Here is a 14,925-nt window from a genome sequence, read left to right as displayed (position 1 = left end):
TTAACATTTTAATATATGGATTTTTTATTGGTGCAGATGTAGTGTTTATCTTCACAGCATCCGTGGTCTTTGGGAAAATATACTTGAGTATCAGGGAGTCATGAAGCAGCCAGAGTGAAATCCCTCAGAGCCCACCCTCAATTGCAGGCCTCTTTAGGATGCCTTCGTTGAGATCTGTGGGAGCCTGGTTGTCAGAGCAGGTTGGTCCAGCCTCATTGGCACCACCATGTGGGCCTCAGCTGAGGAGCTTGATGATAGACCAGGCAAGTGAGTCTAAATTGACTCCTCCGGGAGCAAGGGTTCTGTGCTTATTTGAAAGGTTACAAAGTCCGTAATATAGGTAGAAACGCTGAGTTGCTGAAGGAAGGCTAGGTGTCTTGGAGGAGACAGATTCACTGGGGAGGTGCGAGGAGGCCCAGAAGTGGTATGTAAAGGACAGACACATTCTCAAACACTTGCAAACACATGTACACCTGCAGTCACACACACAAACTGACACAAACAGCTTCACACACCTAGATTTTTCACTCCCTACACTCAAGCACACACACACACACACCCCTCATGGACACTCTCTCAGCCTAAAGGGTGGCCAAGGGGTCAAGACCTCATGGCTGAATCAAATGTTGGTGAATGCTGCTGCTTTTATTACACCAAAGGTCTTAACGTTTATTAGGAGATGAACACAAAGCTTGGCATACTGCTGTCATAGTGGCATGCATTCTCCTCTATAGTGCAGCTCTGGAGTTCAAGGTTACTGCAGATTGCACATAAGAACCACTCTTCAGAGGGGAGAAAAGGGGAAACTGCAGATCCTTGTTCTCCCGAATATCAGCAGACTCAAGGTGCTTCACCACCACAGCAGCCTAAGATCTTGTAAGTTGGGTGGGTGTGCTTTAAACAGTAACACAGGTATGACAAGGGATCCAGGTCGGGGAAAGTTCCTAAAACTTAGGGCCAAGAGTACTTTTGGGGAAGTATATACTTCCCAAACAGGTATCACTGAATGGGGGCGGGGCATGCTTAGCACTGCAACTGAGCTAGGTTAAGCTGCCAGGAGTCCACGATTAATCCTGGTTTCACAGGGAAGAATAAGACATGATGGCACTGTCACAATAAGGCCACTAAACTCACAGCGAACGATGACTTCAGAAGGAAGCTCTCATGACTACAGGGAAGCAGCTCTTTCCTCTCTGATGCCAGGTACCCCTTGCTGGGTAGGCACCTGCCCTGAGACTGTCAAATGGTCCTTTCTGGGCTGCACAACATCACTTAGTACAACAGAGCAGAGGAAGGGACCACACACGTCAAGGTCATGGGACATAACCACCAAGCTGGCTGACTGTTGTTGGTGAATGTCTTAGATGCCTTTCCCGGTTGGGCTGGGTGCCCCGTGTGTCTGAAGAGCTAATCTGAAAAGAGGCTGGCAAAGGACTTCCTCAAGCTCCGGATGGTCTCTGCTTTGGCTTCATCCTCATTGGCTGAAGACCGGAAGAAGGAGGACTCAGAGAAGCTGAAGGCATTTGTCAGGGACTGCGACTTGCTTGAAGATAAAAACCAGAGAGAATGTGAGAGGGTGGTGTTCCCAGCAAGGCAGGGAAGGACGGTGACGTGAGGATACACAGCTAGAACCCCCACTCCCTCCCTGGGAAACCAAGGTGATGGAGGATAATGCCAGAAGTGGCCATGCTACCAAGACCCTGGGAGACTCCTACGCTACTTCCTCAACTTTGGTGCTACTAGAATAGAAAGGGTGGGGACAGTGTGGGAACAAGGGAGAAGGAAAAAAATAAAGAAGGGAAAGAGGAGGAAGAGGCGACTCAAAGGCCGCTTCTTTAATTTAATCTGAAATGCCCAAGGGCTAAATTTCACAGATCCCAACTTGGTAAGAACTAACCTAGGAATCTCACATTACTTTTCTGATGAAAAGAAGTCACAATGGGCCTGTGATGCTGGCATTGTCTTCTCTATCAACTGTCAACTGGTGGAGCCAGATGAGAAGACCTGGGCCAAAGTCTCGTTTTGCCACTCACTCCCTCCTAACTGGAGGCAAGCCACGTGCCTCTCTTTGGGTTCTCATCTGTCAAGTTTGGTAAAATGAAGATCTCTAGGCACTTTTGGCTCTTTCTATTCTGATCTCTTCTCTGATTCCAAAAGAATATATTGGCTTGGCTCAAAACTCTAACACTTCAATTTCCCTGTTCTCTTTTTGTTTGTTTTGTTTTGTTTTTTTTTGAGACAGAATCTCTGTCGCAAAGGCTGGAGTGCAGTGGTGCGATCTCTGCTCACTGCAACCTCCGCCTCCCGGTTCAAGCGATTCTACTGCCTCAGCCTCCCAAGTAGCTGGGACTACAGATGGTTGCCACCATGCCCAGCTAATTTTTGTATTTTTAGTAGAGATGGGGTTTCACTTGGCCAGGCTGGTCCTGAACTCCTGACCTCATGATCCGTCCGCCTCTGCCTCCTAAAGTGCTGGGATTAGAGGCGTGAGCCACCGCACCCGGCAATTTCCCTGTTCTTAAAATGGATGTAGTAACCACCCTTGTAACCCTCCTCAGAAGAGCGCTAATATGAGGTCTATGGGGTTCAGGGTGTCCAGTGGCAAAAGAGATATATATCAGGCCTTTACAAGTTTCTTAGGGAGTTTTCTAATGAGAAAATCCAAACTACAACATTTTAGGGGCCTATTCTCCCCTTGAGAGACTAGTGGTTCACAGAGAAAAACCATGAAGCACAAGGCCATGGGGAGGCCCAGCCTGTACTCCAGGAGAGGACATGAGGTCTGGCTTCTCCAGCGGCCCAGCTTTTCTCCTTCTTGACTCCTACTCACTCCTGCTGCTTTCTGGCTCCAGAACTCTTCTCCTGGTGTCTTGGGACTCTCAGCCCTCCCTTAAATGCTGGGTGCAGCTCAGGAGAAACTCCCTTCTACAGAACTGTGAGCAGTCTCTCTCTGCCTGCAGTGACTGTGAACAGACACCCTGCCTTTCATTAGGGCTGGGAACGAGACCCAACACGCTGGCCTCTGGGAGTGGGGGCACTCCTCAGCCCGCACAGGCAGAGTACTGGGGATGAGCCTCCAGCTTCTCATCAGAGGTTGGCTCTATTCAACAGCTTCAGCCCAGAGGCAGTGACAATCCAAGGATCTGCCCTCACGCGGGGGCTAGAGTTGGCTAGTGGGAAGGCAGGAGGGATTAAAAAAAAGTCAGCAGGCAGGAAACAGCTGGGCTGAAGGGACATTATGTGGCAGGCAAGAGGCAAGAGGTGCCACTGGCCCGAGCTGGGGAGCAAGAGTGGGTGATGCCCCTCCCATCACACGGGACTGGAAGACCCAGAGAAAGTGACCATCTGGACACCTGAGCCCCGCAACCTTGGCTCTGCCACTAATTAGAGGAGTAGCTCGGCTTTGAGAAAAAAAAAAATTTTTCTTTGAGCAAAGTTTTTCTCATCTGCAATGACTACATGATCTCCTAGTGGCTCATTTCAACTCCAGAATTCTCCAGCCCCCTTTTCTCCCTCCCTGAAGAGTCATTTGTTGCCCGTCACCTCACTCTGAGAAGCAGGGGTGTATCACTACCATCCCCTTACCATCCCCCTAAGGCTACGGCTGTCTGTGCTGAAGGTGGTGACAGAAGTCTGCTGGGGACACTGCACAAGCAATCAGAGGCCTCTGTGGGAGAGAGGGCAGAACTGACCATCGTCCACATCCAGGTGCTGTCCCTCCCAAAGACAGCTCTGCTGCTTGCAGGGGTCTGTGCAGTGGGGCAGTGTGGAGGGGCTTCTAGGGTTGATTGCTGGGTGTGGGGGAACCCAAGAGGATGGAGTTCCTCAGCGTCTCTGCCTGGGAACTCCTCTGCTGCCCACACCAGAAACTGACCTCCTTTGGACAGAGCTGAAGGTAAAATGTTGAAATGGATTTAACTACTTCCCTCTTTTCATTCTGGGCAGCCTTACTGATTGCATACTCTGAACTGTGAGTCAGAGGCAGAAAGATTAAAAATTTTTTTTTACAAAGAAAGAAACACACACAAAGAAAAGGAATGGAAAAAAGAGTGGGAGACAGGGTTTAAAATAAACAAACCAAAACCTTAAGCTAGTACAAGACTAGAGAAGGGACAGTGACTCTGCCGTAGTGCCACTTCCCAGGAAGAAAGGGAAGGGGGTTGAATTTCTAGCTAAACTTTAGACTTTCACTTCCCTCTTTCCTCCCTTCTCCAGTGAACCCTAACCACTCCTTTAACCAAACACACACACACACACACACACAAAAACCAAAAACAAACTAACAAAAAAAAACCAAATCCCATCACAAAATATCTGTAGGAGGAGACCTGATTGAAGGTGATTTCTAGCAGCTCTGGAGCCCAAGGCCCACAGGAAGGGTAGGAGGAGGGGAGGGAGGAGCTGCTGAGTTGTCTCTTACTTGAGCTGTGGGTGAGGCTGGGGCTTCTGTGGTGGAGCAGCCAGGGGTGGCTGGGCCTCTGCCAGGGAGCTGCTGCTGGAGGGTGCATCTCCGTGGGTGGTGGGGCCGCCCGGCCGCTGAGGAGCCGAGGAGGAGGAAGAAGAGGAGGAAGAGGAGGAAGGTGGCAGTGATGGTCCAGGGGGGAGCCGGCGTGGAGGCAGCACCTTGCCTGGGGGCTGCATTCCTTGGGGTTGCCCAGGGCCCCCTAGGTTCAGTACAAGAAAAACTTCATAATTTAACCATATAAAAATGTTTCCTTATTAGAATTTATGCCTCAAAGGGTGTGGTTAGTTAATTACCCAAAGGATAAGCTCTATTCCAAGAAGCTGGAGTCTCTGAAGGGCCCTAAAGGGGGTCCTTGGTTAGCTATCCTTGTATATAGCCACTAAGTGCTTCTCCTCAGAAACGGAGCAACTCAGCCACAGCAGCAGTCAGCAGGACAAGGAGGAACCAGGGACGAGCGGCCCCGTCAGAGGCGCACTCTCTCACAGAGGGCCCTAGAATGCAGGGTCCTCTCCCCTCCTCTCTAGAGGTGTCTCAGGCACAGACCACCCTGCTCCAGGGTTTATTGGGAAGTCTCAAGTTCCACATGGCAGATGCAGGAGAGTGTGGTGGAGAGAGCACTGGATCTCAGAAATAGTCTACCAGTGACTCCCTGAGCAAGTCACCAAACTTCCCTGGGCCTTGGTTTTCCCAAACATAAAACTTTAAAAAGTGTAAGCCCTGGTCTTAGTTGTCTTTTAAGGGGTAGTGTTTCAAAGATAATAGGGTTGAGCAAGTTCTTCAAAAAGTATTCCGTACCTTATGATCACCTCGATGGTCACTGACATATGCTGTTTTATGGAGCTGCCCTTGGTCCTGCTCCAAGCCTGCGTGGGTCTGATTGCCAGGCCCACCATGCCCCACCAGGGCTTCATTTTAGCATTAACTCATGCCCACAACCAGGAGAAATCCATTCTTCCTAGGCACTGTTTTGCCTCTCAGTAATATCCTCAAGGGGTTCTAGCAGGATGAACCTCTCAGCCATGTGTGGTAGAATTCTCAAGACATCCAAACCCCACTCTCCCCTGGGGATGTTGTGGGTGCCATTTGGCAAATGAAAGCCCCCCTAAAAAGGAACAGCACACCCTCCTCCCAGCATGAAACACTAAACCATCTGGTGGCCTGGAGAGGAAAAAGGTCCTCCTTCCTCTGGGAGTTGACAGGCATTAAGGTGGTACCAGATTGCCTAGAGTTTGCTGAGGAGGGTCCCAACGCTTAGAAATCAAAAGCCATCCCCATTAGCACCTACTGACTAGTGGAAATGATGCACGACTGCCCTGGGAGGTCCAGTCTCTCAGCCTCAATCCCACAGTCCACATCCACGGGCCTGCTGGAGGGAGTGGACTTACAGAAACTCAGCACCAGCTAGTTGTATTATCACTTAGTTTTTAAGAAACACCAGAACATCTGCACCCTCTGGAGAGGCAGAACTGTATGTCTATGCCACTGTGCACCCATGACTATCCGCTCAGTTCCCCACTATAGGGCACAGAATACCCTTTATCATCTAACCAAATAATACCAGAGTTAGTTACAGAGAAATAAACACATACATAAATCAATGGAATTCTGCAGGTTTAAGAAGCTCCAAATTCAAATCAAATAACTAGTGAAGATGATAGATTAGCAGATTATTTCACATTAACCAGCTTTTGCCACTTCCAAAGTTTGGCATCATTTGCATTAGCATTCTCCTGTAAGGTAATACAGGTTAATAGCTCAGTCTCTTGCACCAGAAACCTGAGTGCTTTCCCATTTGTGCAGATACTTGGATAGCCAGAAACGTTACAACTTAACACTGAAGACAGATATAACTTTTCCTTTATTGCACATTAAGCTGTACAAGAGTCACAAAAGAGAGGTACTTCAATCATACTTCCAGCATTGGCTGAGGTTCTCCCAGTTGGATCAGTACAAAAAAAGGGGACAACGTCAGGAAAGAAATAGGTACAAAACACCTGAATGGCAATCCTATACTGTGACACAGATGTCCCCCAGGCCACAGAGTTGTCCCTAAGCATGCTGCCTGAGGGCACATAACAGTCAGGTTATGCTATCTGCTTGCATTTGGCAGTGGGAGCCCTAACCAATTTCTCCCCCACCTGAAAGACCTTGACTGACACCACCCTGTAGCCTGACTGAATTCAAATGGCAACTTTGCATTTGTGGCTCACAAATGACACATGAAAAGCACCAGATGTACACACTGATAACATGCAGAGAAGCAATACCACCGTCAGCTCATCGCTTGGACAAAAATATACGATAAAATAATGTATTCCTCCATTCTGGGAAATGTTACTTTATTCTATCGTTTCATCAGATTGGGAGGTATTTAAGGACCTGATTCTTATGCAACCCATCTGGAAGTGCAAATATGCATATATGTATATATTTACAACAGATCAACTACCATTATCAGCTGAGGGAGGGATTACAGATGACAACATTCACACTCAATGCATTTCTCTGTGGCCTCAGAATTTACCAGCAATCAAAGGAGAAACCAAGGCACAAGCCCCTGGATACGTAACTCTTGTTACATACCACCAACACTAGTTCCTTCTCAGATCTGGGAGTTCAGAACGGTGACATGACAGTATAGAGGTGGAAGGGAATGTAAAAATAGAGCCAGCAGCATTTCTTCTCAAAGGCAAGCTGCTGGCATGAACTTCCACGGACCATGGTGTTTGTTAGAGGCGGCTGCTTGGTGCCCGTTCCCAGCCTGGCCGGGAGATGGCAAGATGAGGCACTGAAGCTGAGGCCTGGTTTAATGAACTGCCTCAGCATCTGCTCAGGTGCTGCTTGTCAGAGGGAAGAGAACAAACTGGTGAGGATTCCTCAAGAGCCACCGCTGTGGAGCCTCTGTCCAAAACACACACAAGCTAAATCTGAGACAGTTCCTCCCAGGAAAGAGAAAGCTCCTCAATCTTTGGACCCTGGAGGGCTGTGGTAAACAGCTGAGAACTGAAGCAGGAGTCAACCTCAAGGTTCTGTAGGCAGTGTACCCACTCAAGTGACATGGGACATTTTTGATTTGGTCTCCCATTATGAGGCCTCAGGAGAGGCCAAGAGCAGAATGGACAAATCCCTGACAGACCTTCAGTAGCTCCCTGCATTCTATGTCCAACATTGCCAAGGAATTATCTCTGTACACAGGTCAAGCTTTGGGAACAGAAAGCAGCCTCAGGTCCACACAAGCGCACACATGGCTGGATCCAGAAACAGCAACAATGAAGAAACAACTGAGATCAACACACACAAAATACTCACAAGTTCACTTTGATATTGCACATCAGCGGCCCCATTTTTTAAAAATCTCATAGTTAATTAGTTAATAATAAAATAAAGGGTACACTGGGATGTAAAATACAGAACACATTCCTGGAAATAGCTTGTTCTTTGTATTTCATGTCATCACTAAAAACACAAGAGCTCTACAGGCACAGCCAGCCTATTCACATAAACTCAAACTGCACCAAATTTTAGCAAATGGAGAAAAAGGTGGATGCCTTCAAATTCAGTGGATGAAGCTATGGAAGTTTGATCTTGAAAATCTCTTAATGTTCTATCTAGTTACAATAGTCATGCAGAAAGAAAGCGAAAAGCACAGTTCATTGAAGATCCCAAGCACACTGGTGGAGGGAAAGTTGGAGGTGGGGGATTTAACTGAGCTTGGGGGGAGGAGAGGAGTTGGGTTTTCTTTTTGTGGTTTTCGTTTCTCCCCTGTCCACCCCCCTACTCCCATTTCACCCCACATTATATATTACTTTTAAAAACACTATCAAACCACCCAGAAGATAAAGTCACACTGGACTTGGGAGAGGCACAATTCTTTTGTATACTGTTGACAAACAGCCCTGGAATCACAAGTTATACAGAGAAAACATAAGTGAGCATTACAAGCACGAACAGGAACAGGTAAACAACCAGACAGAGGAGCTGACACTGCATAGGAAAAACACAGTCCAGTCAGCATTGAAAGAACGCAGCAACGGCACCAGTGGGAGGGTCTGTTTTCCCCTCCCCGCTTTCCTTTCGTTTGTTTTTGGCTTAAAATTTCTGCTTTGAAAAATTAACCACCAATCATTTTAAGAAGCTTGGACTTGTTTTGGCCCTACTGCAATGCCATTACAGTCGAGAATATACTGTAAACAACCTTGAGGGGGTGGCCGCTGAGGTGGGGTCTTGCTTGAGTCCGGATCCTTAAGTGTTCCGCTCTGGAAGACAAAAATGTAAGAGATAAAAACAAAACTCCAAGCCACTGAATTCCAAAGAGAAACCACGTGGCTCCATGGCAAGGCCGCAGTGGAATCCGGTGGGACCTGGTGGGATCCAGTGGGATCTGGCCATAGGCTTCTGCTGCTCCAGAAACACTTTAAAGGGGACCCTCAGCCTCGGGTGTTGTTGGGGCAGTGTGGGCAGTCTGGGGCTTGGAGCCACTCTGGTAACAATGCCTGAGACCTCTTCAACCCCTTTTTCATTTTCCTCCATTTAGACTCATTCTTTCTAGAAGCTTTGCGTCCTCTAGCACCACCTGGTTTCTTTTCTGGTTTTCTGATGCCTGTCCAAGTCCAGCTCCCACTTCTACGTACAGGCCTGGCTGTCTAAAGGAAAGGGAGGGCCAACGCCAAACCCCAGAGACAGGGTTGGACTATAGGTGGCTCTAGGGGCAGGTGAGCAGGAGGGCAGGGGAGGAGTGTATGTGTGCGCATGCCTGCGCCCAGCCGGACCTAGTGACTAGCCTAGGCTTGGCTCACTTCTCATCTGGAGTTAACTCCGGAGTGGGATCAGTTCTAGGCCTGACTCAGGAGATCAGATCCACTCTTTGGACTCGGCTGGGAACTCCCAAAGGGAGGGACTTAAAGAAAGGGGTCGTCATTTGTTTCTCAGAACCCTCCTTACCTTAGAGGGAAAGAGTAAGACATTAATGTTTGTAACAGCGCTCAAGGCCAGGCTGCTTTTCCCTCCCAAACAGCATGACTACACTTAACCCAACAGCATGGCTCCGATCCCATGCTCCCTCTCCCAGCCGTGATTCTGATTATGCCCTGACGGGATTAAAGACCTGTGCGACTTAGTTTGTCTAATGCTTGTATTAGAGGCAGTGAACGTTTGGAGTCTGAGTTCAGCACAAGGGAAATGTTCTGTGAAGCCTAAAGTCTGCCAAGTGTGCCAACGGTGATGTCAATGAGGGGCTTCCAAGGCAAGGCGGTGGCTAAAAACAAGCATGTCCTCAGTGAGCACTCGCTTCACCATCAGTGCTCCTCTCCCCTCTTGATGTGCCCCTCAGCCCTACTCCCACATAAAGCTGCTTCTCCTCCTGCTCCCCATTTCCCTTGGACATCCCATTCTGGCCATTTATCTCCCTGCCCATTATGGCCTGTTTTCAGCTCCACTGCCAGGAAGTGTTACCTTCTCAGTATCACAGTCTTTTAACCTCATTACTCGGAACTGTTCTACTGAGAGGATTTGGGAGAGCAGCTGGGAGGGGGGCCTTTGAAATGTCCTCAGTGCCACCACATCAGAGTGCCCATTCTACCATAACCCTCAACCCCCACAAGTCACAGTGAGAACACTACTTCCTTTCCCTTCCTCTGGGGACCTTCTTGGGATCCATAAGGCACAGTCTGAGCCTGACACTGCAATACCCATACCCGGGAAGCCAGCTGGAAACCACTCCATCCCATCAGCCTTCAGGACTCCTCCACTTTTCCCTCCTGGTATCTGAGTCACCATCTTCCCTGGACTAACTTTGGTCAGGCCTTTATCATTTCTTGCTAGAATAGTCTCCTAATTCTTTCATCTTTTTCTTTCCAATCTATCTTCTCTGGGGCTACCTATTAACCTCCTAAACCTTTTTTCTAGTTGTGTCTCTTAACTTCTCTAAATCACCTAGAGCTGACATTTATGGCGTGCTTACTGTGTTCCAAGTAACATGGATGCACTATTGTGCACTATCTCCCTGTACCTCACAGTACCGTATGAGGTATCATCAGCACTCCTGGTTGCTTCAGCATGGCTGGGCTTGCCCTTTCTAGCCTTCTCCCTCCTTTATGTCATAAACAGCTGCTCAGTCCAGGCCTGATCCTCTACTGTTCATTCTCTAGTCTGGCCCATGCCTTCAACACCACAGCCTCTCATGGTCAGAGACAGATACTTAGGTGAAGGACAGAAAAAGTCCCAGTTTGTGAAGCTACCGGACTGGCTCTCGCTGGTCTCTCCCCCAGGGCCTCATGCCCAGTACCACTGAAGGGTCCCAATGCATCATCTCAAATGTTGGCCAAGAGCAGCTTACGATGTTCTCCTCCCAGAGAATTGGTATTCCCAGAGAGGGTTACAGAAGACTATGTGGCATAAGAGCAGAACCAGGGCCAGTGGGCACAAAAGCTCTGGGCAGACTTTCACCTACAAGTAGAACTTTCTTTTGTAAAAATAGTGAGATAGGCTGTTTTGGGAGGTAGACGTATGTGTTCACATAGTGGGTAGTGAATGACCTGACAAAGACATCATAGATAATATTCCTTTTTTAAACATGAGATTGACTGGATGAATGCTAAGGTTCCTTCCAATCCAGTGAAACTATGATTCCAAGAAAACGTTTTAAATCCCATAGATTAAGCTTTAATGGTAGAACTCCAGACACAGGATGAGCTCACAGGGGTGATCACACCATGTAGGCTGGCCTTGTCTTTCCTCAGCCATAGGAATATACATGTAAGACACCCACGGATGAACTAAGCCCAGAAGTGCCCTTTTCCAGGCTTGAGAGGAAGAGCTCCCGGAGGCAGTCCTTTGGGCTGCAGCCTGGGAATATGCTTTGGCCACCCTTGATGGCGCCTAGGAAGCTTCTCTTGGCCCCGGCTCCACTGAGATTGTGTATGGAAGACTTCTCAGGGGCTACGGGAGGCGGGGAGGAGAATTCCCAAGGACTGTCCCTTGCCAGGCTGAGACACCCTGGCTCCACCTACAAGCCTGCTGTCTACTAGGGGCTCCGGGCCTATTCCCTGTGGGGCTTGGCTACCATGGGATCTGTTTCCAGTCACCCAGAGCATCCTGGGATGCCGAATTCCACAGAAGTCTGGCCACTCTGGCGTCACTGCCAAAGGCTGGCCTGGAGCCAGCCCACAGCAGGAACTCATGGCCAGACTGAGAGGCAGAGCTTTCCTCAGGAAGTTGGATTGATTCAAACAGGTAAGAATGTGAAGTGCAGTGCTTGTGCCTAGCTGTACACAAAACGGAAGGGGAATAAATGACCTTATAGTAGCATAAAAAAAAAAAAACCCAGCTGGGTGCGGCTCACGCCTGTAATCCCAACACTGTGGGAGGCCGAGGTGCGTGGATCACTTGAGCCCAGGAGTTTGAGACCAGCCTGGATAACATGATGAAACGCTGTCTCTACAAAAAATACAAAAATTAGGTGGGCATGGTGGCATGTGCTTATAGTCCCAGCTACCCAGAGGGCTGTGGCAAGAGGATAGCTTGAGCCTGGGAGGTGGATGCTGCAGTGAGCCAGGATCACGCCACTGCATTCCAGCCTAGGCAACAGAGTGAGACCCCGTCTCAAAAAAATATATAAATAAATAATAAACCCCAACCAACTTTGGGTTTACAGAGTGACGACAGGCTCAAAGGGTGTCAGTCTGTAATGATGCTGCCAAAAATTGGATGCAGCTGGAGGTATGTCTATGTCTTGACAAGGGGAAGTGATAGGACCACTGTTCTTTTGGCTGATCAAGCCTCATGAGAGAGCACTGCAACCAGTTCTGGCCACCTCTTAAGGGTGATGCTAGCAGAAAAACATGGGTACATGGAGCAAATAGGATGGTTAGAAGTCTCGAAATGACAACTTTACACATGTGACTTTGGGCAAGTTACTTATCCTGAGTCACAGTTTCCCAAATGGTATAAATGAGGTAACCATGGAAGCACCTAGGGCTTAGTAGAAGATTGAAATTAGTCAAATATAAATCTGAATAGTGTCAAGGGCTGGCTTGGGTAGTAGTGAGCTTCCTGGCATGAGAGGTATTTCAGCAGTGCTTGGACAAACTTTGGTTAGGGGGGCTCATGTAGCTGCAGGCACATGACTTCTACAGGCCCTTCTGGCTCTAGGCTTCCATGAATTCGTTTATGCTTTTTTTTTTTTTTTTTTTTTTTCTTTCAGTTCTTCCGGTGTGTGAGAACTGAGACAATCCCTTCTTAGCTACAGAGTTCCAGACCAGCCTGGACCAGCTACAGAGTCTTAAACTCAGCAAGACCCCTAGGGTTATTGGACCTGTGCAGAGATGTCTTGCAGGTATAGGCTTTCAGGAGCTTGGCAAGGAGAGTGTGCCGCTTCCATCAAAGCTAATTGGGCTGGTATCCTGCTACGCTGAATCTACTGGGCTTAGTGATCAGAGAAGCCAGGGAGGAAGGAGAGAGCTGGTGAAGCTCAAGACTCCTCCAGGTTGGTAGGTCCACCACTTGTTAAGGGAGGAATGCAAGGATTTTCCTTACGTAGAGATATAGAGTCACAAATGCCCAGCTCATTCCATTCTTACCTTCGCCTCTGCTGATGTGGGAGCACCAAAAGGGCATGGTGCACAGTATTGTGGAGAACTCCCTGAATTGGGGCCCAGAAGATCCAGCTCTCCTGCTTAGCAGCTGTGTGACCTTGGGCAAGGCAGTTGCCTTCTCTTTGCTGATATGTGAAACAAAGATACATTTGCCAGCCCAAGACATCTTAAATAAGGATTGTTAGGCTTAAACTAAAGAGTGTGCTTTGTAAACTGTAAAGTGTTAGGCAATGTAAGTGAGCATCCTACTACTATTTAAAAAATAAATATCAATCCAAAGGAAGGGAGGTCTAATGTTAGAATTTCGTGCATCAGTGGAGAAGATATTGTTGTGTGGTTTCCTGTCACCTGATGCATAGCAGTTTCATGTGCAGGGAATTCTGGTCTGGGTTATACCATGCCTTCTGTATATTGCTTAGTTCCAGCAAGGTCCTTGCAGAAATGGTAAATATTAGCTCTTGAGATGATTGGAAAGGAAATCACTGGCCTGTGACAGAAACCAAGCCCATGGATGAGGGTTTGTGGGTTTTTGTCAAAGGTAACTTTAAAATGCCATCCTGTGGCTTTCGGCAGACAAGCTGGAGAAAGGAGCTCCTGAAGTCCCAGCAGGATGGAAAGCTGAGGAAGGAAAGACATTGAGTGACTCAACACTTGTGAGCTGTTGGCCTGAGACCAGCTGCCCCAACCAAGGAGGAAGGCCTGTGCTTGCTCAGCATATCTGAGACAGGAAATTGGGAAAGGGTCCCAGGGTCTGGCCCCAGGAAAGAGGCCAGGCCAAGCTCCTTGCCGGACACGCCACAGAACTATTCTGATCAGCTCCCCCAGGCCCCGCTCCCTGGTCTAGGACCCCAGGGAGAATGAGGCAGCGGGAAAGAATGTGGTCAGGAGGTTGTAGGTTTAGTCGGTGCAAAGGGGACCGCATGTTTTGAGGCACCTTGGGATCTTTCTGGGCTTGCCCCTGCAGTCACCAGCGCCCACCTTCCTTCCTCCAAAAGGTTCTAAAAGGTGCCCAGGGATGAGCCGCTTCTCCTTCCCTCCTGGGGGGAGTTGCTTCTCTGCTTGCAGAGCTCATCTCCTGGAGTGGGGCCCTCCCATAACCTAGAACCCAAGAAATATCCCATGGGGGCAGTCCCTGAGTCTTCTGGGGGCACTGAGGGGCAGGTCACTCAAGGTCAGAATGTCAGCTTCAAATGATTAAAGATGTCCCTGAAAAGTTAAGACAGTCCCAGAATAGTTAGTTTCTCTTAATAGTCTGTTAAGGGATCTAGTCACTAGTGGCTTTATCTGAACCTGCCCCAAATCTCCTCACATTCTCAGCTTATACTCACTGGGGAAGAAATTTGCTAAAGCCATTCCTGCTGTGGGAAGCAGGAAGGCCTTTCATTTGTCCTAAATTTACCTCTTCTGAGCTCAAGTGAAGCCCTGTTAGTCCCATGCCGGGGATCAGAGACCCCTCCCTAACTGGACAGCCCTTTAGACTCCACTTCTCAGAGTGAAGAAACCCCTTCTTAGGCTTGGTCTTCTTGCACTCAGGAGACCTCATATTTTAGAACACGGGTGGCTAATCTTTTGGCTTTCATGGGCCACACTGGGAGAAGAACTGTCTTGGGCCACACATACACTAACACTAACAATGGCTGATAAGCTAAAAAAATTGCAAAATATCTCATAATGTTTTAAGGAAGTTTATGAATTTGTGTTGGGACGCATTCAAAGCCATCCTGGGCTGCAGGTTAGACAAGCTTGTTTCAGAGCCTTTGTGGCTGGAAAAACCTAGCTGGAAATGTGTTCTGTTTCTCTTCATACCAGAGAACCAGTACAAAAAAGGACTGGTAGAATGTCCCACCAGACACCAGAGGTTATTCAGCC

General features: G+C 48.4%; 1 protein-coding gene across 6 annotated transcripts in view, besides 3 other annotated features; it reads right to left on the bottom strand.

Annotated features, from left to right (window-relative positions):
- SYN2 (synapsin II) overlaps window positions 1-14,925 on the bottom strand; it is a 187,645-nt gene continuing 172,720 nt past the window's right edge. For 4 of the 6 annotated variants that reach the window (NM_133625.6, XM_006713312.5, XM_006713313.3 and 1 more), the window contains 3 exons: window positions 8,661-8,721; window positions 4,421-4,664; window positions 1-1,543 (listed from right to left, as the gene is read on the bottom strand). In NM_133625.6, the coding sequence (NP_598328.1) occupies window positions 1,408-1,543; window positions 4,421-4,664; window positions 8,661-8,721 (441 nt within the window). In that variant the 3' untranslated portion in view covers window positions 1-1,407. Of the gene's footprint in view, window positions 1,544-4,420; window positions 4,665-6,305; window positions 8,722-12,031; window positions 13,675-14,925 lie in introns of those variants that run through there. The other 2 variants (NM_003178.6, XM_006713311.4) reach the window with 2 other exon arrangements.
- Window positions 4,207-4,346: an enhancer, noted in NCBI's record as "active region_19437". NCBI's record gives its function as "activates an Ori minimal core promoter by ATAC-STARR-seq in GM12878 lymphoblastoid cells {active_cell/tissue: GM12878}" and the evidence as "EXISTENCE:reporter gene assay evidence [ECO:0000049][PMID:35858748]".
- Window positions 4,547-4,656: an enhancer, noted in NCBI's record as "active region_19436". NCBI's record gives its function as "activates an Ori minimal core promoter by ATAC-STARR-seq in GM12878 lymphoblastoid cells {active_cell/tissue: GM12878}" and the evidence as "EXISTENCE:reporter gene assay evidence [ECO:0000049][PMID:35858748]".
- Window positions 12,683-13,882: an enhancer, noted in NCBI's record as "BRD4-independent group 4 enhancer chr3:12219651-12220850 (GRCh37/hg19 assembly coordinates)". NCBI's record gives its function as "activates an origin of replication core promoter dependent on BRD2, P300/CBP, MED14 and CDK7 cofactors, and independent of BRD4, by STARR-seq in HCT116 cells {active_cell/tissue: HCT116}" and the evidence as "EXISTENCE:reporter gene assay evidence [ECO:0000049][PMID:35650434]".

The sequence above is a fragment of the Homo sapiens genome, chromosome 3, assembly GCF_000001405.40.
Source record: "Homo sapiens chromosome 3, GRCh38.p14 Primary Assembly".
Classification (NCBI taxonomy): Eukaryota; Metazoa; Chordata; class Mammalia; order Primates; family Hominidae; genus Homo; species Homo sapiens.
Note: the sequence above shows the minus strand (reverse complement) of the source record. Positions and strands in the feature narration are given on the sequence as shown.